This window comes from Homo sapiens, chromosome 3 (assembly GCF_000001405.40).
Source record: "Homo sapiens chromosome 3, GRCh38.p14 Primary Assembly".
NCBI classification, from domain to species: domain Eukaryota; kingdom Metazoa; phylum Chordata; class Mammalia; order Primates; family Hominidae; genus Homo; species Homo sapiens.
The window spans coordinates 156119857-156146224 of record NC_000003.12 but is presented as its reverse complement, the minus strand read 5'-3'; the positions used below and the strand labels follow the sequence as shown (position 1 = coordinate 156146224).

Here is a 26368-nt window from a genome sequence, read left to right as displayed (position 1 = left end):
TTTACACCACATTCAATGTCCTCCAGTTTCTTTTCAATTGATGCATGTGTTTGCATATTTACTTATTTTTTTTCTCCTCCTGGTCAACCTTAGTTAGAAATAAAACGAAGTCTCCATGGAAACACAACATAATGCTCTCTCACAGATGATCGAGGGACCCAAGCAGCTGGTATTGGGCTAAAGTCTGCAATGGCGTCTGACCAAATTCAGAATGGAAAACAGCTTACCCGGCTCTTCCAGACCTCTCAGAATTCTAAAGCTGAGCATGGAAACCTACACAGATTGTGAACTACTGTGGGTTGTCTTATTCTTTTTTTTTTCCTTTTGAGAATATTCTCTTATCCATTTATATGTTTCACCTAAAGGGTTTCAATCCCTCCCCCACTTAGACTGATGGACAGACACTACAGAGTAAGTGGGAAGAAAACCTCCATTCCCAGTGAGCACCTACTGTATTAGACATTTCTATGTCATGACTGGCCCAATGTCACACAGTTCTAAAACAGGCAGAGCTTGAATTTGAACTCTGGTCTGTTTAACTTCAATGCCCATTTTCTTTCAACTTTACAAGAAAAAAGAAAATAGAAAAAACAAGGCTTAACAGAGGTTGTTTTTTTAACATAGCCATGGTCCCCTGCCCACCCTCTTTTTCCTGAGGGGGAAAAATCATAATAAAGAAGTAAGAATATGAAAGTCAGCTTCTCTCTTAACCCCAACTATGTTTATAAGAAATCAAGGTCTAAAGCTAAGTTGGGGAGGAGCCAAGAGAACCCTGGTTCTCTTTCCTAAAAATCCTTTCCAAATGGTTGCAGGAGAATGTCTTAAATAAGGGCAGTAAGCGAGTGTCTTAAAGGGAGAATAAACAGAGCACTAAGGACATTGGGGAGTGGGTAATGGAGAAATGTGTCAGGAAGATGTGTCAGAGCACAAGCTCATCATAATTTAGAGCCTTGGCTATTTCTTAGGGTTAATGATCAATTAAACTGTGCTTTTCTCCCCTCAAACTGATTTAGGGGCAACATTCTCCTAAGTCCCATTTCTTACTAGGGTGTGATATGGTAGCATACACCCTTGTCCAAGGCAGTATCTGGCATCTCCAAGGTAACAGAGCCTTCCCCACCAAGGCATCATGAAGAGTCGCCCAAAACCTATGGGGAGTATGGAATCCACATAGGTGTCTCAGAAGAGGCTGGGGGATGACTGCTCCCCTCAAGCAGGTGGGCTCCAAGCTCCCACCTTTAGCTGAGGCAGCTTTGCTTTCACCTGTCTGAAGAACGTGTTCCTCTACTTCATAATCCTTTGAAAAATGCTTTCCTAGAACATACCTTCATCTGAACATTGGCACACAGCACAGATCTGTAATTGATATTTAAACTAGACTTTTGAGAGAGAAAGGCATACCCTCTAAAGGTTTATGTAACAATTCATGGTAATACCACCCATCCTATGACAAAGACATGGAGGCAGACTTTTTTAAAAGTGAAATGGTCCATCTTCCCCTTCGCCCGATCTGTGTTCACATCACCATCACTACCACCACTGAGGGTCGAGGAAACACGGAGAAGAGAGAAAACGTGGGGGGACAGAGAAGCAGGCTCCTTCCGGTGACAGATTCAGAAAGAAACAGCAGCATCTCCTCCTCATCCATCCCTCCTCATTCCATGAGCTACCATGAAAAGGTGAGCTCCCCTTCTAAAGCAGGATGTGGTAGGCTGTCCTATCCTCCTTATAAATTGAGAAGAGTTCATTTCTTTTCTGCACAACCCTTTTATTACATAGAGTCTGTGTAAAATACTTTGCTCTCCAGAGAGGAGCCATATCATTGCAAATTGCTTTATGAATATAATTAGCTGATAAATTAGAGCAGCAGCTACTACACTGAAATAGACCTTCAGATTTTGGAAAAATGAAATCACTGGGGACATCTTGTACATGAAAAACAATCTTATGCTGTGCAGAAGTTTTGATATGAGCTAGGACAACTGTTCTTACAATTGCTAAATTGTTTTTTCAGTTTTCAGTACCTTGTCCTTCTGAATAGCTTTTACTCAGCTTCTGGGCTGTTTAAAACTCCAGGCGTACGTAAAGGAAGCACTTGTGCAGGAGCAATAATTGCTCTGAATAGGAAAGATTCTTCCCATCACAGAGCAACTTATAAAGATTACACATCCAACCCTATACCAAGAAAACATTTCTCCTTTTTGTTAATCTTTCATAAAATAAATAATGATATTGGAAGTTTAGTGTACAACCAGTAATTTATCTTGGGTGACACTGATTTAAAAAATAAATAAATAAATAAATAAATAAATAAATAAATAAAGTGCTGTCATTTCAAGGAGAACTTGAACTACTTTATTAGCTATTAGTACAGACCACATGATTCAAGTTTAGAAGAAAATAAGTCTTGAATCCCAGGCAGCATTAAAAAAAAAAATTCTACTCTTAACTTATAAATTCTCTTTCCCTTAAGAAGAATGGAGTCCCCACTCTTCATTTTGACCTGCCAAATCACCTCCCTACTCAGAGCCAAAGATACTTCTTCTGGAGCACATGGTTAGGAGTTTCCACAGATGAACTTGACTGTCTTTTCTGTAACCCTCTGAGAAAAGAGAACGCTTAAAGCTAAAAAAAAAAAAAAAAAAAAAAAAAAAACAAGAATGCAACCCAAGAAGAGGGCTCACTGCATTTTTCCTTCTTTTTCTTACAGGGTTTTGTCTTGCTATTTCAGTCCTTATTTCTTTAATAACAACCTTTGACATCAGTGCAGTGCCCTGGTTGGATGACTTTGCAATCAGCAGTACCTGTATGCCATGCCCGTCTCTGCTCTGGTGGTTTCCTGCAACGAAATTCCATGAACACGTAGAAACTTTTCCACATATTTCTGTTCGGCTGCTCCACTGGGCCTCACAGGTTTGCAGGCCGCCTGAGGCTGAGTCTTGGTCACTGCTAGGTGCCATCTACATTTTAGAGCCGATTCACTGGATTTTGGCAGACCCAGCTTGGGGCTCGGGATGTCTGCACAGGCAGGTTTATACAGATGCATGTTTCAAAAACCCAAGGAAGCAAAGCTAATTGCACGGTGCTTAACTTTAAGACTCACTGTATCTTGCTGTGAATACCTTGGGTTATCTGGCTTCAGTATGTCCCTCAAAAGGTTTAGCTTGTTTTCTTTAGATCTCTCTTATCATTTTTGTAGGCGAGCAGGCTCCTAAGTTCCCGACAGAGCTGTTGGTTGTGTGTCCCTGCCCAGGCCTGTGCATAAAGGAGGCTTTTGGTGGCCAATCACTTTTCTCATCCCTTTAAAGTACTCAGAGTCAAACATAAGCAACTATGTACTGGCCCTGGGGAAAAAAAATATGGGAACTTTTTCCCATGTCTTTCTATTTAGGTAAAAGGAAATATTTTGGTGGGATCTGGGCCAATCTGTTTTTATAAGGACCATAAAGCCTTAGGGATGATTCATGAGTATGTAATGAGACTTCTCTAAATTATTAAATATTTTGTAATCAAATAATTTTTTATACTAGAGGCATGATTCATTTGGGTGAAAGGTCCATTAACCTCTTTCAGATGTTGCTGTCAAATGATAGACAAATATCAACAAGTGGTTGTAAAAGGCAAAGGGTTCACACAAATATGGCTAATTATTTTTGACAAATATGAAGAGCAAATCTGTGGAGGAAGAATAGCTTTTCCATCAAATGGTGCTGGAGCAACTGGATATCCATAAGCGAGGCAAAGCAGAACAGCAACAAACAAAAATAAATGAACCATTGACCTAAACCTCATCTTTATACAAAAATCAACGCAAAATTGATCATGGATTTAAATGTAAAATGTAAAACTATAAACTTGTAGGTAAAAACAGGAGAAAATCCTCAGAACCTAGAGTTAAGTGAAGACTTATTAGACTTGACACCAAAAGCACAATCCATAAAAGGAAAAGCTCATAAATTAGATTTCATCAACATTAACAACTTCTGCTCTATGAAATACCACGTGAAGGGGATTTTAAAAAGCAAATTACAGACTGGGAGAAAATATTTGCAAACCACATATCTGACAAAAGACTTATATCTAGAACATACAAAGAACTCTCCAAACTCAACAATAAAAACATAAACAATCTAATTGGTAAACGGGCAAAAGATATGAACAAACATTTCACTGAAGAAGATATACAGATGGCACATAAGAGCATCAAAAGATCATTAGCCATTAGGGAAATACAAATGAAATCCACAATGAGAGATCACTACACACCTATCACAATAGCTAAAATACAAATGGTGATAACACTAAATGCTGTCAAAGATTCAGAGAAACTGGATCCCTCATAAATTGCTGGTAGGAATGTTAAATGGTTCAGCCACTCCAGAAAAGTTTCTTATAAGACTAAACATTCCAAACTTACTATATGACACAGCAATCACACTGTTGGGCATTTATCCCAGAGAAATGAAAACTTATGTTCACATGAAAACTTGTACACAAATGTTTATAACATCTTTATTCATAATAGCCAAAATCTAGAAACAACCCAAATATTCCATAATGGGTGAATGATTAAACTGTGGCATATTCATACTACGAAATACCACTCAGCAAGTAAAAGGAATGAACTATTGGTCAAAACAACCAGTTGAATAAATCTCGAGAGGCTTACGCTGAGTGTGGGAAAAAAAAAAAGCTAATACCAAAAGGTTGCATTTTGGAATCTGTATCATTCCATATATATAACATTCTCAAAATGGCAAAATTGTAGCTAGAGAGGAATAACAAATTCATAATTGTCATGGGTTAGAAAAGACAAAAGGGAAGAAGATGGCTATGGCTATAAAAGTGTAGAGGTGGGATTCTTATAATGGAACTGTTGTGTCTTGATTATGGTAGTGGTCACATCAATCAATACATGTAACCAAACTGCATGGAACTAAATATAAATTACTCAAAAATGAGTGCATATAATATTGGAAAAATCTGAATAAGGGCAGGGGCTTGTGTCATCATCAGTTTCCTGATTGTGCTATTGAACTGTGGCAAGGCAAGATACCATCATTTGGGGAAACTAGGCAAAGGATATATGGAATCTCTCTATTGCTGCTTATACCTGCATATGAATAAACAGTTATCTCAAAATAGAAAGTTTAAAAAAAAAAAAGCAAAGAAACTCCTCACATATGGGTTTTTCCACCACATGATTCCAGCTGTGACTCTCCTCCAACTGTGACTCCTGGACATAAACTGTTCATTCGGTCTAACAGCTTCACACTCACACCTCCCACCTGCCATCACATCTTACATCTCTGCTGACATGAATCTTCACACACGCGCACATGCTCCCTTAAAGCTCACCTCCTCTAGGAATTCTTCCCAGCCCCGGTACACAATTATTCATTGAAATTCCACTTGCAATTCAAACCTAAAGCCCTCACTTCACACTTCTAAACCGTTTCACAAACATTTGCACACCCCTTGTGATTTCTGCCGTATTTTTGTATATCCTATACCATTATTTATTTACTATTTGGAATTAAGTTGCTTTTTCTACCTAAATGAATTTTTTTAGTGTTATGTACTGAATGTTTGCATTCCTCCCAAAATTCATATGTGGGAATCTTAACCCCCAGTGTGATGATATTAGGATATAGGGCCTTTGGGAGGTAAGCGAGTTGTGATCTTGGAGCCCTCAGAATAGGATTAATGCCCTTATAAGAAGAGGCCAAAGGTAGCTTGCTGTCTTTTCACCATGTAAGGACACTGGAAGGAGAGAGCAGCGGCCCTTCAACCGGGAAGAGGGCCCTTACCAAGAACCTGACCCTGCTGGCACCCTGATCTCAGACTTCAGCCTCCAGAACTGTGAGAAATTAATGTGCATTGTTTAAGCCATTAAGTCTATGGTAACAGCCTGAACTAAGACATTTAGTCAGAAAACATTATCTTACTACCACCATAAACAGAAAAACCTTATCACTTGTAATAAAATAGAATGTAGTCTGTAAAAAATGCAATAAAAATGAAGAATGTTATTACATTGCAGCTGGATACTTAGTGTCCAGAGGCTTGGGATCAGAGTCTTAACTCTTTTTATCTTTTATTGACAAAGATTTAAAAGTATTAGAAAGGTTTTAAAGATAATTTAGCACAAATCTGAGATTTTCTCTTCCCTTCTTTTTAGATAATGAGAAAAAAATGAAAGGAAATTGAAACAGGAATACACTACATTTACAAAGTGAATCAGTTATTTAATGCCGTATGAGTGGTACTTGTACCTCCTTTGGGAAACAAAGACATAATATGCTGTTCCAGAGTATGAGATACATCTCTTGCAAGTGTACCTCTTAACTCCCCATCCAGATTATAAGCTCTTTTAGGGAAGGGACTGTATCTGACACAAGCTTGTAAACTCCAGTTATAATGATCAGAATGATGCTTTGTGCACAATCAACATTGCATAGAGATTAACAATTTCCTTGCTTTAATTTTAAACTCCCAATAGCTACCTTTTCTCTCATAAACCTATTTCCATTTTCACCCTAGCAGCAAAAGCCCTGAGCATGAAAGAAGAAATAAGAGCTTATAAAGAAAAGGCCAGAAAAGCTAGGGGGAACAAAAAAAAAAAAAAAAAAAAAAAAAACACAGTACAATGGAGTTAGGGAGAAATTAGCATTCCCAAGTAAAGTTGCACCAGTGACATCACTTATGGTAGCCACCAGTTAAATCTGAGTATGTGAGCCATGAAAGTGGTTCCTCCAGGGCTGAGAACACCTGGAGGTTCAGGCAGTGGTGCCAGCGGAGGGCCAAGGAAGAATCACAGGTGAACCAGGAAAGCAGTTTCTAAAACATGGGGCATGAGCCCTCTCCCATGTGTCCCTCTCATTCTGTCCTCCAAATTTGGAACTGGGCCCAGGAAAGGAGAGAGAAATGAGAAAGCCAATATTTGTCTGGAACTGAAGTTTCTTTTCATAAAGTTCTAAAAGCAGGTCAATGTCATAAAAGATCCCAGTTTAAAGGTGGAGGATAGAAACTATATTTAATAAGAGAACTATTTATCCCTTTGGTTGTCAATACAAACTAAGATCAATTTTAAGCTCAATGTGGTAAGACTGTAAGAAATGCCTCTGAACAGCTGAGAAGGACAGTTAATGTCTTTCTTGCTTTCCTTCTGTGTCTCAGGAACGATGATTTTCATATTCTTTTTAGGATATTTAAGTACTGTGCAATCACATGGTCAGCAGAGTGCAGGAAAAAGCAACAAGGCCATGTGATGAGACAGGTGCTGCCTGCCCCGTCCTGCTGATGGAGCACGGGAGGCCTGGGACACAGAAGCCACATATAGAAGCTCACGCAGCTCTGGGTGGTGGGCAGACTTCATCTACACCTGTTCAGGATTCATAAACAATAGTGTGACCTTGGACAGGTCTTGACCTTTCTGACCCCTTAGTTTCTCTACTGGCTCAGACTTAGGTAATCTCTAAGATTCTTCTAGTCTACATCTGATGTTCTGTGTATCTTAAAAAGTAATTGCTCTAATCATGCTATAGAGGTGATGATCCTTCCTCCTTTGTTACTGGCGAGACTTGGAGTCCATGAATTATTCACTAGTTATAAAAGATACCAGGCTCGTGAGATTTATGTTATTCTTGGAATATAGCAAACACCTTTATAGCCTAGTTCTAAATTTTTCTTGGCTAACGAGGTGATTTGTTGAACACTGTATATCTTGGACATGTCGCAGTCATCCAAGAACATCCAGGTCTAAAATAAAAACTGAGGCCAGAGCTGGTGGGGCTAGAGGAGTGGGAATGCACTGTCACTGCCGGGGTGGGGAAGTATTGGGACCAACCAAGTCAATTTGGACAAGGGACACCACACTACAGTCCAGCGCATATTTTTCTATTCTGATTATTTACCGGAACTTCATCTTTCTGCTCTTGTTCACGTGTTTGCTCACTAGTGCTCTGCAGGTGATGCTGTGAGACATCTGCCTTCATCTCACTGGGAACCATCTAGAGGGATTGCTCCTCCTGTCACTGCCATCTTCTCTTCACCCTTGCCAGAGCTACCTTGGGGTCTAGCTATATGTGGCAAGACCACAGCTAAGTATAGTATGTGTGTGTTGTGTTAACAAAACACAATGCATAAAACATTGCCTTTGTCATCAAGGAGCTCTCAGTGGAGGAGAGGAGAGAAACCAGTAAAGACTACGAAGTGATGTGATATGAGCAAAGATAGAGGCAATCACTGAGGCTAAACCCAGTCTGGGAAAAGAGCAGAGGATCAGAGAAGATACCCTGAGACAACATCAGCAGTAAAGGTAAAGGGTGGGAGGAGTGGAGGGAGTTCTTTCACAAGTTTGCAATCCAGGCCGGGCACAGTGGCTCACGCCTGTAATCCCAGCACTTTGGGAGGCCGAGGTAGGTGGATCATCTGAGGTCAGGAGTTCGAGACCAGTCTGGCTAACATGGTGAAACCTCGTCTCTACTAAAAATACAAAAAAAAAAAAAAATTAGCCAGACGTGGTAGCGGGTGCCTGTAATCCCAGCTACTTGGAAGGCTGAGGCAGGAGTATTGCTTGAACCTGGTGGGGGCGGGGGTTGTGGTGAGATCGCGCAAGTGCACTCCAGCCTGGGTGATAGAGCAAAACTCTGTCTCAAAAAAAAAAAAAAGAGGAAGTTTGCAGTCCATCAAGAAATCTAATGTTAAATGTCTCTGTCATTCATTGGTGTTTTTCTAGGCAATCCCTCACATCTCCTGTTAGTCGAGATTTTCTCAGTGAATACAACACAACAGTCCTGGTAGGATAGGGGAGGGGGTGCATGTTACAGTGCATGGGAGTACAACACATGACTAATGGAGAGCCCCTGTTGAGCCAGCCTTAGCTCCTTCTCCCTAGACCCAAAGGTAGCATCTTCAGTCTCACCTGATTCCTTTTCCTTATCCCTACTGCTTATCTACTGTATACTCCTGCGTTATAGCATAAAAACAATCCCCCCCCACCAATGTATGATACATACGCACTATAACCTTGCTTTAGAAAAAAATGAGTAGGAGAGGATAGAAAAAATAACTATTTGGTACTAGACTTAGTACCTAGATAATGAAATAACCTGTACAACAAACCCCTGTGACACAAGTTTACCCATGTAACAAATCTTTGCATGTACCCCCAAACCAAAAATAAAAGTTTAAAAAAAAAAGAAAAAAATGAGCGTATTTATTGGTGACTACATCTATAGATCTCTACCTTGGCATAGAGGGTTTGTGGGCAAGACTGGCCCTTGAGATTTAACTGCTATTCTGCATTGGTCCCACAGTCCTCAACTAGAAAGCATCTTTGAGTGGAGCTCTGGCATCTGTAGCAAAAACTCTCCTCACCTACTTTGGGCATGACTCTCTTGCTCTTTATTCAAAAGTTCCCAAAAGATGCCAAAATGTGGCCTTAGTCTAAAGCTAAACGAAGGGAAATGGTCCATGGGGCCCAGATGTGCAAAAGTGCACAATGTGGCCAGAAATACCTCAAAACGTGGCAGTTAGAAGCAATGACTACTTTGGAGGAGAGGTAGGTGAGCGGCGTCGAAAGGATGGGAGATGAGGTCTCAGTCACATTATTTAGGCTCTAGGCTCTCTTTTTAAGTAATGTTGAGCCATGGAAGGTTTGAGATCATGATAGTATTGTGGTCTCATGCTGTTAAGTCAACACTGAAGTAATGCTTGCAGGGTGCTGAGATCACCTTCTTCTTTATCCCAGTCTGCACTGGCCTGGCTTAGGGGAATTTCCACAGAGAGTACAGTATAGTAGAAAGAGCACAGGCTATGAAGTCAGGAAGGCTTGGGTTCAAATCTTGCCACTACAACCCACCAGTGGGCACTTTCTGAGTCACAGTTTCTTCCCCCGGAAACTATAGCTCATCATATTACCTAATAGGGTGTTGTGAAAATTATAAGAAATATTGTATTTGATGTAACTAGTACAGAATAAATGGCTCAATAAATGGTGATTATTATTATAATACCTGCAATGCTGTCAGTGTCTAAGGGTTACCACATACACTGCACAACTCCAAGGACTGCCATCCAAATTTTAACCCATGTGGATTGTGCCCCCTAGTGTTGTGCAGTGCACAGAACACACAGTTATACGTGGGAGACTTAGACTTCTCACAAGCAATAATTTTCAGGGGACTTCAATGTTATGGGCTGCATGAGTACAAAATGGATGGGGATGGCTTTAAATATGACTTTCTCCCTTGCTAAAGAGAAATGAGAGATTATCTGAATGATGCTTATTTGTTCTTCATCTAGCAAGAAATACCTCCATCACTCCTTAAGTGCCTACTCAGAAAGCAGTTTTGAAAGTTGCAAAGAACTCCACATATTTTGACACTGGTGCCACATGCTCTGCCATGGGGCTTATCTATCTTCTTTGACACGTTATTTCTATGGGGTCTGGAACTTGTCCATGACAAGGCCTTGGAGGCTGGGGTGCAGAATGGCACCATGAAAAGTAAATCTCAACTACAAAAGCAAGCCTAAAATTTTATATTTTCAGTTTTGTGATATCATGCACTAAGAAGTCTCACTGGGATCATTCCAATCAAGCAATCTCTCTCTTCATCTTCTAGGCACTTACAATTAATCTAAAATATCTAGGAGTCTAACTAGAGCTAGAAGAACTCTTAAAAATAAACTGATTTAATTATCTTGTTTTACAAATAAGGTAATAGACATCCAGGTAAATTGGCACTATTAAGCAGTCATTATTGTAAGGACTGGAATAAAGTGCAAGTTTCCAGGAGCATGGGCTTAGTGGACAAGGACTTAAATCTTTGCCTGGCAGCCTAATAGTTGCATGATTTGAATACTCTCTGAGTTATTAGCTTTTCCTCTGGGGAAAAAAAATGGGGGAAAAAAAAGCTAAACCAGGCTGGGTGCAGTGGCGCATTCCTGTAAACCCAGCACTTTGGGAGGCCGAGCTGGGAGGATCGCTTGAGGTCAGGAGTTTGAGATCAGCCTGGCCAACATGATGAAACCCTGTCTCTACTAAAAATACAAAAATTGGCTGGGTGTGGTGGCAGAAGCCTGTAATTCCAGCTACTCGGGAGGCTGAGGCATGAGAATCACTTGAACCCAGGAAGCGGAGGTTGCAGTCAGGTGAGATTATGCCACTGCACTCCAGCCTGGGCAGCAGAGTGAGACTCCACCGTGAAGAAAAAAAAAAGAAAAAAGAAAACTAAATCTGTTTATATATTTTGAATTCCCAAATATACCATCCTGCCTCTTGAAATGCCATTTCACTGTACAATAATTGTAAATGTTTAATCACCAAAGTTCCAAGGCAAAACTGTTGAAAAACAATCCACTGAAAAGCCCTCAGTGTGTCTCTGCTATAGAAGACAAATGAATAGTTTCACTTTGTTTACTCTATTTGTGCTAGAATGTTTTCTTTGGCTGAGAAATTTATAAAATGTAGACTACAAGCATCCCATCAACATTTTGAAATATTGTGTTCTATATGGTTTGCTTTTATAAAATCTCTATGGTTTATTCCAAGATAAACATAAACTTGAAGTAATTTCAGCATTTGACATTTTCCCAAACAGATTCAAATGTTAGTTCAAATAGAGTAACAACTGAATTTGTAGAGATCACCTTTTTTAGAAACCTTTCCAGATAAAACACAACCAAGAATGAACAAATGAACAAATAAGATATCCCAAAGCCTACATTTCAAACCTCCTGGTTGAGTACCTCAATTCATAAACCATGTATTCTTTCTTGGTCATAATTTGAACACGACTGGATTTCTTATTTCCCATCCCTCCCTAAAGTAAAGATAGCAAATTAGATTAAAAGAACTATCAGAGGCAGGCATCCTGACAGCAGCAAGAAAAGCTTACAGCAAGGTGAGGATACAGAAAAAATAATAGAGGAAGAAAAATTTCAGAAGCCAAAATTTAAAAATAAAATAGCAAAATGAGGCCTCCAATTTTCAAGGCAGATAGATCCATATGCTTTAATAGCCCCTGAGGATATTTTAACATAGCACAATAGCTGACATTTATTAAGATAAATGAGAGTTGTCAAGTTGTTTCTTCAGGTTTAGAAAGTTAAAATAAAGCCTTGACACTTAAATTAGAAAGTTTCAGGTATTAGAAAAATCACCTGGGTGAAAATTTTCATTCTCTGACAATGTCAGATGAATGAGGCTTAATTGGGAATATTTCCTGCATTTAGAAATGTTATCAGTCCCATCCTCATAACTTTTTTCCAGTTAATAGCAATTTGGTGGGTTAGCCTAAAAAAAAAAACAAAAGTCAACGAATTTGTTCTGAAGCTGCCGATTACATGTTTCTTTCCCTCAGCCATTTCTTACCTGCTTCCTCATTGGTTCGCATTCCCACAAACCCCCATGCATTCTTGTGTAAGTCTAGTTGAAATGGTGCATCTTAAGTGTATTTTTTCCTGATGCTTCTCTTCCCTGTCTCCCTGCCTCCCGGCATAACTAATCACCCTTTTACCTGAATTTTATAGCATTTCCTTCACACTTCTAATATCACACCAAAAAAACTTGACTGTAGTGTTGTCTTCCCTGAACAGACTCCAGGATCATTCAGGGCAAGAAGCCCTGACTCTGCATCCCTGTATCCTCAGAACTGGAACATGGTAGATGCTCAAACTTCCTTAATAAATTCTGTTTAATTTTCTAGTTTGATTGTTAGAAACTATTTCAATGTTACATATATGGTAATAAAAGAATGTCCTTAAATGTAAGTATATTTTTTCCTTTTTAAAAAACTAATTCTGAATGTTAACCTCATTGAAAATTCATTTAACTGAAAATACTTTTAAAACACATTCAGTACTGCTTTTGGATAAATGACCATCTGGAAAGTAAAATATTGCAAACAGATTTAAGCATTTAATATTTTGTTCAACAGCAACTGGTGTTTGGATAGTCACATCGTTCAAATTACTAGGCTTGAGACAGAAAGAGCTGATCTTTCTAACACATCCCACTTGTGGAATTGTTTATGCTGACTCTCACCTCCTAAATCCCAGAGGTAATTAAATAATTCAACAGCCCTTTGGACAGCTTGTTTCATACTTAATGTCCATTGCTGTAATCAAATTAAATATGAAGACTAAGCTACGAAATGTACCTTAGGCTTTGATTTTTTAAGGAAATATTTCAAATTGGAGATATTTGTAATAAAAAGTCTCTTGTATACAAACCATATTTTCTTAACCTATTATTCTCCAAATTCCTCATTAATTCTGCACAAAAATGTATATATACCTTGACTGAGGATAGTGACTCAGAGAAGAATGCCAGAATATCATTGAGGATATGCAATTTTATTTAACAACATTACATTCAAAACCACACTGTCTCCTGCTTCTGGGAGCAAAGTGATTATCTTGTCTGTTGTTATGAATCCTGGAGGTACATTATAGAAAAACATGTGTAATGATTACACTGTTTAAATGAACACAATGTTGTAGAAGCTCCCCTTAAAAACACACACCTTATCTATTCTGAAATAACAGACTGAATTAGTGAGCTCTCCTGGCTCTCCACAAGTGCTCCCTGACCCTTGTTTCCATGTGCCTGATCCTGCCTCCTGAGACATCAGCCCATGTCTGTGGCACCAGAGTCTGTGGCTGTTACCATGGAAAGGGATGGCCTTGCAGCAACTCCATCTCACAATGGAATGGGGGAGGAATAACACATGAGCTGCCAAGAGCCTCATCCAGCCGTAAGTGAGTCTCAAGGCAATGAGAAACACTCTGACAGGTTCAAAATGAGAGCTGATGCTCATAGACTGACATAAGGAAGGCTGCTTACTTTATCAGTGTTCCACTGCCAGGTGGATATCAGATGACCATCTACAGGTCTCTGAAGTGTCCTCAGCCTTCTCAGTGAAACAGGAAAGTTGAGATCCAAACAAAGAAGCCAGAAGAGATTGACCCACCATGTGGCTCAGGAAAGGTCAGGTCAAGGGGTCCAGTTTGAACAAGGGGAATAACATTGAAAGTAAAGGAATACCTTGGTCTCTCCATGTTATGGAAAATAGCCAAACTCTACCTTAGAAGCTCCCTAACCCTGTTTCAAGCACAGCTCTGTGGCAGAAACAGACCTGGGATTCACCATGCCCACTTCTCTTCCTTCTAAGGCATACATTTATAACTACAATTCCCAGCCTTCTTTGCAGTTGAATGTGGTCATGTGGCTGAATTCCAGTCAATGTTGCCTCTGCCTGCAGATACCACTTACAGGTCTGGCCCACAAAATGGGGCCTCCACCTGCTCCTCCCATACTCCTCTCTTGATCCATGTCAATGCTCAGCTATGGCCCAGCTTAGAAAACAAAAGATGAAGATGACAGAATTTTCATCAGCCCAAGTCCCACCTGACTGGACCCTTCCCACCCCTGGTCGGACTTGCATAAGTAAGAAACAAACTTTCTCTTTTTTGAAACAAGGTCTCACTGTGCTGTCCAGGCTGGTCTCAAACTCCTGGTCTCAAGTAATCCTCCCACATCTGCTTCCTGAGTAGCTAGGACTACCATTGTCAGCCACCACTGTACTCAGCTTGAAATAAACTTTCTGATTTCAAGGTATTAAGGTTTCAGGATTTTGCAGCTAGGGTTACCTTTAATAAAAACAATGCACTTTATTTTGTAAAAGGCATTCACCTACAGCCTATTCACAATCAGCATTTGGGAGCCGTTCCTGGATTGGGAACCAGAGCCAGATATCTGGCGGGAAGCCTAGTTTAATTTTTTGGAGACTGAAAAAATATTTGGCAAGTTTCTTTTTGAAATTAGGTCACAATGTGTGTACCAAAAATGCACAAAAAGCTCCTAATTTATTTTGCCATGGAATGGAGATTTTTCTCTAAAACTGACATCTGACGACATTTCACATACCTGGGGAGGCTGTTGGGGAAAGCTGTTGTTTCAACTGCCATCTCCAAAGAAATATGAGTAAGTGCTCCTCAAAACCGTGTTGTTTCCTCCTCCCATGCAGCAAAAACACACAATACAATGGTAAAAATCCCTGGCAGGACATTAGCACATGCCATTCAGTGACAACCACAGTCTACAATTTGAAAGACCTGGGCAGCTATTGCTGTCTAGCTCTCAGAGCTAGGATGAGAAGGAGATGGCCAAAGCCTGACTTAAACTCAAATTCTGAAATTGAATTAAATTTATCTAATAAGGGATGTCACTTGGGTGCCTCCTCAGGCCTCTGCACTTACACAGCTCTTTCGATGGAAACAGTTTCTGTGGGAGAAAAGCCTGAGGAAACATAAAAATCCATAGTTCATCCTATGACACAACCCTTTGCTATCCACCTAAGTGACTTCCCAACATTCCAGCCTCCCAGCCTTTTGATAGACAGGTGCAGGACAAGAAGCAAAGACTTCAAATGGGAGGGGAAGACATGACTGCCACATCCCGAGTTACAGAACCTTATAGTGTGGTGGAAAGTGAAGGTGAAAAGTGAAATTACTAAAATGACATCTTTGTAGTGATCAATAATCAACCCAAACTAGGGCAGGGAGCCATTCTGTTGAGTTGAGATGTGCATCTGCAGTCTGCAGCCTGAGTCTCCAGATTCAAGTACTGGCTTTATCACATGCTTAACTGGCTAACATTGGGCAGGATCATTTTTAAGGCTCAATTTCCTTCCACAAAGTGAAGATCATAAAAATAGGCATCACATGCACATGGATCATTGGGAAGGAATCAATGGAATATCTAAGGAATGTGCTAGCTATATAATAAATATTCAATAAACAGTTGTTGATATTAGGAAAAGAAGGCAGATGTCATAGACTTTGGTCAGCTCACCCAGGAAGGCTTGTTCAAGGTCAAGGAATGAAGGAATGAAGGCTACATCTACACCTATTTTTACTAGAAAAACAGATTGGGGTAACCATGCTCTTAAGCCATGTTCTAAGCTGACGTAGAGCCCATGTCCAGTGCAGAAGGTAATAAAAATAATAGCGAACACATAGATAGTGGTTTATAACATACAGAGCATTTTCACATATACTTTGGATCTAATCTTTAAAATCCTAGAAGATGGATAACACAGATGTTTTTATTTCCACCATATAGATGACAAAATCAAGGCTTGGAGAGGAGAGGTGTTTTGCTAAAATCCACACAACCAGCCAGAAACAGAGCTAGGATTTAAACCTAGGCCTTTTTATTCCAGAGTCAAGAGATGGATCCACTGTGCATGGAGAGAGGAAGTGTGAGACAGACAAGGCGTTTGGTCCATGTTAATCAGAAAAGATTTTAAATCAGGGTATGAATGAAAATCTTAGAACAAGTTTCTAAGTTAAACGAGGAGGGAAGCAGCATGTCAAGACCATTTGCTAAGGCTTGGAGAATTTTCCCAAGCTTGAGGGGCTCATAGAGAGACTCCTAGCTAAAGGAAGATCAGGGAGGCAAAATAACAGATGGCCTGATGGCACTTCAAAGGGGAATAGTAATTATGGCTTTTGCTGAAGGCCCCTTCCTATGCACTCAGCATTGTGCTAAAACTTTTATGGATATTATCTCATTTAATTTTCTCAACTCTATGAATATGTAACCCTGTTATTCTGATTTTACTGGTGAGAAGACTGAGGTTCCAGGTCACACAGATTGTAAGGGGTTGAATTTAGACCTAAGTCAGCCTGATATCAGAGCTTATATTAATGTGTCCCCAGTTTATATATCTGTGGTGACTTATAGAGGAGGCAAGAGGCACAACATCTCTAACTGGCTAATACCACAACTGCACAACAACCTGAAAAGTAAACGTGAAACTTTAATAAGCTAAGCTGTATAGCTAAGGCTAAATTTTAAACTCATGGTATGATATCACCACACCCCAGAGAAGCAGAGTATTCGGTACATAGAGACAGAACTAGAAAGGTTGACCTTCGATATGGAGTAGAATAACGAAGGCTCAAAAAGATAACCTGGAACATACTTAAGCATATTCAGCAGGGAGGTAGCTCAGGGAATATTTCATCCCCTTAATGGGAAAAGAAGAAAAAAAAAATCAACGACTGACAAAAAATGAATAGGCAGAACCACACTCTCCTTCACTGAAGGATATGGGTTGTAACAAGACTATGAGGTTGTTGTATGAATTAAACAGAACGACTATAAAAGCCCCGGGAAGAAGGCATGATGCTTTATAAATGCTTGATAATTATGAAGGAGATGAAAGAAATAGTCCTTTGTGTATCACCTTGAGGATTTTTGTCAGATCTCAATTCCACCACTACTTACAGTTAGTGAATGTTTTCCTCTCAATTGACTCATTTATTTTAAAACTTACCCTTGCGCCCTGCTCTCATAGCCATGAATTTATAGATTTTAGGTGTATGTTATATATTTCTTCCTAATATTCATGAAAATAAATTATCAACCCATTGAAAGATTTAATTTCCACATGCCCCCCAAAATTATCTTTGGCACAATTAGAGTGCCATAGTTTGGGAAACATTGAAAGCATGTAAAGAAGCCTGGACAAGGAACCAGGAGACCTGGGATCTGGGCCTAGATGATCAGGCACATCGCCTTTATGAGGCACGTTCCCTCACAGGAAAGTAGGAGAACACCTGCTCTATGTCATGTGAAGGCAAATGAGATAATGCACGACAAGACATTTTATAAACAAGGATACTACAAATTGTAGGTATTTGTGTTACTCTGTCTCCTTCTACTAAAGAACACTTTTTAAAAAATTAAACATATCTGTCAGTAATCAACCAATCACTAAAATAACACACTTTGAAAATCAAAGAGAATTTTTCTCCTTCTCCTACAACTTCAAAACAAAGTATCACCTCATCCCCTTTTTCTTTCAGAGATACTTCAGTTGCACTGTCTCTATAAACAACACAGTGTGCCCCTTTGGTCAGGTTTATGTCATTATACTCCACAGGCTCAAAGCTGGACAAAGCTCAAGGGATCATCTCGTCTAGTCTCATTATTTTACAGAGGAGCACTGATTTCTGGAGAACTTTAAAAACCTTACTTATGACCATACTGCAAAATGGGATTTGAATCATGTCTCCTGGCCCCTCAACCAATTTTCCTACTGTTACATGAGCCCATTCCCTGTAGCGGCAGAGAGATCTCAGAAAGAGGAGCCAGAGCTGATGCTCTATCTAATTTACCAACGTCCAGTTAGGAAAGAACCCTCTGGGCAAGTCAGAAGACTGAGATAGAGGCACTGCCTTCCAGGTGTCCACAGTTATTCAGAAGAAACCAGGTGCGCACGCACGTGCACACACACACACACACACACACACACACACACACCCCAAATGAAGAGGAATCTAAAACTGAGAAACTGGCTCAGTTTTGTCAAGATAACCAAAAAAGCAGTCACAGGGGTGCAGACTGAACCAAGTCCCTGTGCATTTGGCTACTCCCATGGAGTGGATGTGCCCGTCCAGGGATGTCTACTTCCAACTCACCACCCCAGTGGTGCAGCTACACAGGACAATGGCAGCTTCATGGCCAAGTCAAAGGACATCATCACCATCTTTAGTGGCCATGGCAACCCTAACCCTCCCCAGAGGCTGCTACTAGAATGCTGTAACTTTCTCTGGCTACCTAAATCCTGTCCTGTTGAGGTTCACTCTCCCACTCCTAGCCCAATCATTCAGTGGTCCAACATTTTCTCTAATATGCAAAACAACAGAACAATGAGCTAGGAGGCAATCTTTCTAGCATATAACTAAAATCACAGTAAACTACATAAAAATGTCCTCATATTCCAATATCTCTGAAAATAATACTTCTATGTGACTGCTCATGCAAACATGACAAGAATTACAGCCTTAGGGAGAATGTGCCTGCTCTAAGAAATAGATATCATATTTTAGAAAAGGAAGAGCTTTCTCTTCAACAACAAAAAATGAATTAATAGCTTTTTCTAGGAAAAAAAATATTGGTTGAATAATTTAGAGTTATTCCATTGTAGCTCACTTCCACCATTCCATACTCCATCCCTGATACCATCTTACTGATGCTGTCCACTATGTTCCAGGAATGTGGAAAAAGAGGAAAGTGGCAGAGGTGAGCACCAAAATTGATTGAGTGTCTAATCTACACCAGATGATTTACATCATTTCATGGAATCCTTATAGCAGTCTTATGAGCTAGATATTTTTATGCCCATTTACAGTATCAGTGTGAGTACACTCCAGAAAAGAGAGGCATCCCTACTTTTGGCATCTCCAATAACAATCTCATGATAATAGCAAGGGCATAGATCATGCGTCAGGAATGATGCTAAGACCTTTGTATAATATCATATTTACTACTATATGTGCCCACTGCTGTTCTGTGAGCTATACTTACTTAAGTCACTTGAGCTCCCGTAACAACCCTAAGGTATTACTGCCATCATTACCCACTTTTTATAGCTGAGAAGACTAAATCACATAGCTGATAATTGGTAGAGCCAGGGCTTGAACCCAGCAGCCTAGCTCCAGGATCTGTGGCCTCAACCAAAACCAACTGCTTCTCGCAGGCAAGGGGCTTACCCAGAGCCTCCAGGCTAGTAAGTGGTACTGCTGAGATGCAGCCTGCAGGCCACCAGACTCCAGAGCTTTTTCATCACCAGGCCCAGCTACACTTCACTTTGCCAAAGCTAATACCTGCATTTGATACCCAAGAGGCTCCCCCTCCTTGGGGATATGGGGACGATTTTGCTCTATTATTTGTATTACACACATTCTCTCTCCCCTGGACTCCTCCCCTTTGCCTAAAAACATCCACAGATCAGCTTTCTCCTACAAATTTCCCCCCAGACTCTACTACAGACTTCAACTATCATACTCTCTCCTCTGCACTGCCTCTTCTTGAGAGTGGCCTGCACACACTGCCTCTCCTCCACGCCTGCTCTCTGCCCAACTCCCCAGTCTCCAAAGTAGTCAAATGGCCTCCTCTCCTCTTGTTCTCCTGGCCACACTCCCAGATCCAGCCTGCAAGAAACTTTGAAGGATGCTGTTAGTAGCCTCATGAACAGAAGCAGCTCTCCATCTTCATTTCCTGCCCCTTTCATCTGCACCTCTGCTCACTCTTCCCTACACATGGATTGCCTTCCCCTCCCCATCTCCTCCTGCTCAAATCCTGCACATCTTCCAAGTCCATACCCAATTACTCCTAGGCTGCAAGCAACTAGAATCTTTTCTAGTTTCATCTTTGTGTCACAGGGCCTTGTACAAACAAGAATCTCAATCAATGGCTGTTGAATGTTTACTCACTGACCTCCAGCTTGATTCTTAACAAGAATATCTTCTTGCATAAACTTCTTGCATCAATTAAGATGCTTTCATAAGCTCAACCAAAGGCTTCTAAGCTCTTGGATCTCCTGCTGCCTGTTGGCAGGAATCAAGTCTACCAAACTCACCTGGAAAACTAACTGCCTTTTCTCACATAGAACCACATTCAGCCTTCTAGAAGCAAGTGTGAGTAAACACTTTCTTGGAAGTCAAGCAGTTTTGAGAGCAGAGAGAGAAAATATTAGGAGCGAGTCTCAGTATAACTACTGTCCTAGATAATAAGAAACATTCATTAAGGTGGTCAAAATCAGTATCAAAATGCTATAGCTAAATTTTCACTCACATCTCAGTTTGCCCTACTAAATGTTCCTAGTAACTTCAATTTAATAGGTTCAGTCAACTATCGTTTGAAATGTGAATACTGATAGTATGTAAAAGCTCATTGTATTCTATCTCCAAGTCACTTTTCCTCAGGAGGGTGGTATCCTATAAATCCTTAAAAAGCTTTTGGTGAGGACACACAAAGGTCTCTTATAAAATATTAATTGAGCACAGCGGGATGCTCAGCTCTTGATGCTAGGTGAAGTATATACTTTTGTTGGGGATTTTTGGAGTCATCCATCCTTAATTTTCTTCATAGGCCTTAAATACACCGTGTACAGTATGGGTTATATCTCAAGCCCTATTTTACAGAGTGTGAAAACAAAGCACGTTCCTCTTTCAAATCACTGCACATTATCTCATTTAAGTTTTGCAATGGTTCTTTTTTTTTTTTGAGTGGAGTGTTGCTCTGTCACCCAGGCTGGAGTGCAGTGGAGTAATCTCGGCTCACTGCAACCTCTGCCTCCTCGGTTCAAGCAATTCTTCTGCCTCAGCCTCCTGAGTAGCTAGGACCTCAGGCATGCACCACCACACCCAGCTAATTTTTGTATTTTTAGTAGAGACAAGGTTTCACCATGTTGGCCAGGCTGGTCTTGAACTCCTGACCTTGTGATCTACCTGCCTCGGCCTCCCAAAGTGCTGGTATTACAGGCATGAGCCACCATGCCCGGCCTACGACCATTCTTTATAATGGTGTTAGCACCCTTTTGCAGTCAAAGAAATTGAGACCCGGAAAAGTTCATTAAATAACCCAACATTTTGTTGAACTATAAAACTCAATGTTAAAGATTCCATATAAACATTGTGTAGTACAGAGAAAGCAATAAGATAGGCATTCTTGAATATTGCCAGTGAGAAGGTATAATGAGAAAAATGTTTCCAGAAAGCAACTGGATAATATTCATTAAGAATAAATAAATATATATTTGCATATCTCTGTATATGTGTATATGTGTAAATATACACATATATAATACATTCATCCATTAATTGCACTTCTAGAAATAGAGCCTCGGCCAGGCACGGTGGCTCACACCTGTAATTCCAGCTCTTTGGGAGGCTAAGGCGGGCGGATCACTTGAGGTCAGGAGTTCAAGACCAGCCTGGCCAACATGGTGAAACCCCAACTCTACTAAAAATACAAAAATTAGCTGGGCGTAATGGCACCCACCTGTAATCCTAGCTACTTGGGAGTCTGAGGCAGGCGAATCGCTCGAACCCAGGAGGCGGAGGTTGCAGTGAGCTGAGTTTGCGCCACTGCACTCCAGCCTAGGCAACAGAGTGAGACTCCATCTCAAAAAGAAAAAAAAAAAAAGAAAAGAAATAGATCCTAAGAAAATAAGCAGAAATATGGTTTTTTAAAATCTGATACAAAGATGTTTATTGTAATATTATATCTAATAATGATAAATAGTATATAAAAGAAGAATGGCTAAGCAATATTATGGTCATAAGATATAGTCCTTACAAAATTTTAAATAGTTTTTAAGATAATAAAATAGATTGGTGTAATATTAAGTGAAAAAAGGAATGATATGATCATATTCTGACTTTTACCCATGACCCAAATTCAAAATGCTGGGGAAAGCATGTCAAAATATTAACAACAGTAGCCTTTTCTGCTTTATATTTTCCTGTTTTCAAACTTTTCTACAAAGTTCAGATGTTACTTTTGTAAACAGAAAAAAAATTTTATTCAAAAACAATACTTTTTTTAAAAAACATGCCCACAGTTACAGGCAGTAAGAAGAAAAGCCAATCTTTTGCCTTCAACTCCAGAACTCTGGCCCCTGCCCCATCCTCCCTCAAGGTGCAGGGCCCTGAGCTGTCATTCTAAAAAAATCAGTATCACAGAGTTATCAGTCAACTCTAGATGAACAATAAATCTGTATTAAGCAAAGTATATTAGATTGTTTCATTATATAGTCATATGTAAATACAGCAGGAGTCAGAACTACTTACCACAAACCTAATGTGCATTCCCTATCCTGCTGCCTGCAATTTTACTTCTTAAATATACCAGGACTGCTGAATCTCCCCCAACTCTAATGCTTTCTTCCAATCATTTAATAATACCCTTTGTTTCAAATATAAATTACCATAGAATATGGACATAAAGCAATCCTCAAATTCCTCAGGAACTAGAATTAACCTGATGTAAAATATTTTAATTCCATCTTCCAAGAAAGGAAACAAGTTTGAGTTCGCTAGCAATTCCTTACTGATGAACATTAACCAAAGACCCACAGAATTATTTCCAATAGCAAATGTGTAATGTCTTCAAGGACTCTTCAATACATTTCATATTCTGTCTTGTAAGTAATGCTTCACAGGTGGATAAATTTGTTAATATTTTATAAGTTAATCATATTTATCTTCTACATACAAGTTTCTAATGGAGATATCACTCATGGGCCATGTTATTGGAAGAAAGAACAATTGGAAGTCCAAGAAAATTTTCTGGGACTTCTCAACGGCTGACATTTACAAATGAAAGAAAAATTTGGGTGACTTGGGGGATCGTACATTCTATCGCTAACATTAAATTTGGAAGAGATTGCACCATCAGACATTGTCACTGTCCAGGAATCTCAAGGACTCGACAGAGGAATGTAGTTCCAACATTTGAGAGGTAAAAAAGTTGCTGGCGATGAGAAAAACTGCCTTAGTTTCCTGAGCTATTGCAAACATTGAACTCTGTAATAAATGTATTTAATTTATAAATAGAGTTAGTTCCAACTACACATACTCGTTTCTTCCTGGAAATAATCATGCTGCAATAATAAAGGAGGATGGGAAATTTTTAATTTTTGATCATGTAAGGTGGACATATCTTCACTCTTTTTCAACCCTTTTACTAAACAAGGGAAACACCATGCTATTGTCAATCAGTGATTAATAACACTACCCCACAGATTATCACAGGAGACATTAATTCTGGATCATGTCTAATCTAGTCTTTTCTGATTACAGAACAAAATATTATTGTTTAAGTGAAGCAGAAAAGAGCAGATATTTGCTTTTCCCCAAAAGTTTCTTGCTAAACCTGGTTACCTTAACTAATATGCCACTCTGACTTGTTCAATGTTGTTCCAATGTCAGATAATGAAGAATTCTGTGGTCTTGTATTAGACTCTTTAAAGGAAATTTCTGGTATATCGCAAGTCAAGGAAAATGTTACGGAAGAAAACCATTTTCAATGCTTTCCTTTGCCACTTAACTCTTTTTCCTAGAGGATCTTTAATAATAGCTTTAAGATTTGTAGATGTGAGATATGTAATAGTTTGAAATATGAGATATGTAACACTAACAAGCTCATTCAAACTTTCTTTAAACGAGACTACTTTTCCTTTGGTCTTCCTCCCATGTACCCCAAATGTGGGCCCAACAGCATATACAAGAGCTTCAGACAAACCACTCTGGCCATGAATACCAAATGTATTTCATAGAACATTTCCAGAAGCTTTATTTTGTGCTAATTTTTAAATGTTGATTTTTGAATAATAGTTTAGGTTTTAAAATATCTATTTATTGCTGCCTTGAAAAAGAGAAAATGAAAGTTAGTTGAGGAGTTTTAAAGTGTACGGTACAAGTTTTTAGTCTATATGCACAAGTTAATTCAATTACTAAATAAGTTTTTCTGTAGTGTCTTTTGGAAATAGAAATATAGACAGAAAGGCAGCTCAGAGTGCACTGGATGCTTTGATACAGGCTGCATTGCAGAATTTCAGTGCTACCATACAGTCTCTACAAAAGGAGTTTTCCATACTTTGACTACGTAATTGGAACCATTTTTCATCTCAAAGGAATTTTTATTACCATTTAATAACATAGCTATTCTAGGTATTATTTTCACAGTATTTTTTCTTCCAAAATTATCTTTAATTCCTAAGAGATTTTTTGCACAAATTATAGAAAATAAGCATCCTTAAATTTCAGGACTCCAGACACTTTTTACTCAGTACGTTTTGCCTTGGAACACTGGGATTTGTGAAATTATCCTTCCTCTGCTTTATTTGAAGCTGAGGCTGAGTAAAGAACAGAAAGAAAACCCATAGAGATTTGCCTTACATTTATCTCTTTTTTAAAAGTTACCTTTTTCTCCTGATGTTATCTGTCTTAGACACGGGGCTCAGATCCCTATATTGGTGGTCAATATGTCCCATTCTGCATCCCTATGGCCAGCCTGACCCCTCATTCAACAAGTTCACACTACTCAACTCCACTTTTCAACCAGGCAAAACAAATGTTCTTCCCTCATCCCCAAGTTCTCAGAGCAAAGGAAATGCTGAAAGATTGCAAACTCTTTTTTGTAGTTATTTTGGAAGGGAGCACTTTCCTACCATCTCTTAACTCCTCTGATTTTTACTTAAGAAAAATCATAATGCTCTTTTGTCCTGTCAGCTCCTAAGCATCTACTGCCTCCTTGTAAGAGGTCTTTTCTGAATAACAATGCAGGGAACATTATTTGCCATTTGCACCAAGATCCTGCTCTTTGTGGTTACACATTCTGAAGTGCCAATCATCTCTAAGGCAATTAGAGCCGTTAAGACTTCCAGCTGCAGAGGAAAAGAAATCAAAGCATTCTCCAGAGCACCTTCGAACGGCGTCTCCCAAAGCCCGCGCAGAGCAGGGGCAGCTTACCTGTGCGGCATGCCTGTGGTGCAGACGGTGGTGTGCTCGCTGGACAGGTCGCAGAGCTTTAGGTACCAGTTCATCTCCACTTCGCGCAGCAGAGCCAGTTGACGCGCCCTGAGCTGGCTTTCCCCTGAGGGACTAAGGCTGCTGTCTTTAGCGTTTTCTGAGGCTTTCTTGGGAGATTTGTCTTTCCCTGCTACAGAAAACCCAGACTGTCTCCTTAACTTGGTGTTCTCCTCTGAGATCTGACTCCCCGCTGCCCCTGTCCGGGCTGCCAGCATCGTGGAGATCTTTCAGAGAAGACTGGAAGTCACTGTCATCAAAGTAATCTGAATTGATTTTTCTGCTTCTGCCTCCCTCCCTCGTCCCTGCCCACTCCACCTCTCTTAACCTTATCCTGCCACAAAGCTGTAATTGAGCCCAGTCTGTGGCTTGGGATGAAAATGTATCTCTAACCTTTCCTAGTGAAGAGGTAAGCTGGCCAATACCTGTGGTATCTTCGAACACGGAAATTTTAAAAACAACTCCCAACAACTTTGTAATACTGAAGTTTGGCAGTGGCTGTTTCTTCCGCAAAGTTAGGACTTTTGCTTTATTTAATAGTGACAACTCTGAACTTTTGGTCATATAGGTTTGGTAAATTACATTCGATAATCATGTTAGAGTTATAAAAGATTTCTGGAGGCTCATTAGCCATTCCTGATTAGAGTCCCTTTGGAGTTTTAAAAGTTTTAATGTGAATTTCCTCAAATAAGTTCAACAGTATCAATGCAAGGGAAAGATTATTTCTCTTGTGCAAACCTGAACATTTTAAATTTATTTTATATTTCTTTGAATGTCAGTGAACCACATAACGTATGTCAGGCACTCTTTCATTCCTAATGTGAGAATGGTAATCCCTCATAACCGATTCAGTAACTGCCCCTCCCAGCACTTCTGACAAATAGAAGCCATGAGAATCATCTGATAATTGGGAAGGTGAAGGCCAAAACTGGTGTGAAAAAACAGAAGAGTGGGAGGGAATGGTGGGAGCCTG

General features: G+C 39.7%; 1 protein-coding gene across 5 annotated transcripts in view; it reads right to left on the bottom strand.

The window, feature by feature from the left end:
• Positions 1–26368, bottom strand: part of KCNAB1 (potassium voltage-gated channel subfamily A regulatory beta subunit 1) — a 420928-nt gene that overhangs the window by 392914 nt on the left and 1646 nt on the right. For 2 of the 5 annotated variants that reach the window (NM_172160.3, XM_017007174.3), the window contains exon 1: positions 25339–25647. The exons of 1 other annotated variant lie outside the window; for it this stretch is intronic. In NM_172160.3, coding sequence (NP_751892.1) covers positions 25339–25613 — 275 coding nt within the window. In that variant the 5' untranslated portion in view covers positions 25614–25647. Of the gene's footprint in view, positions 1–2804; positions 3264–25338; positions 25678–26368 lie in introns of those variants that run through there. 2 more of the 5 variants (NM_001308217.1, NM_003471.3) reach the window with 2 other exon arrangements.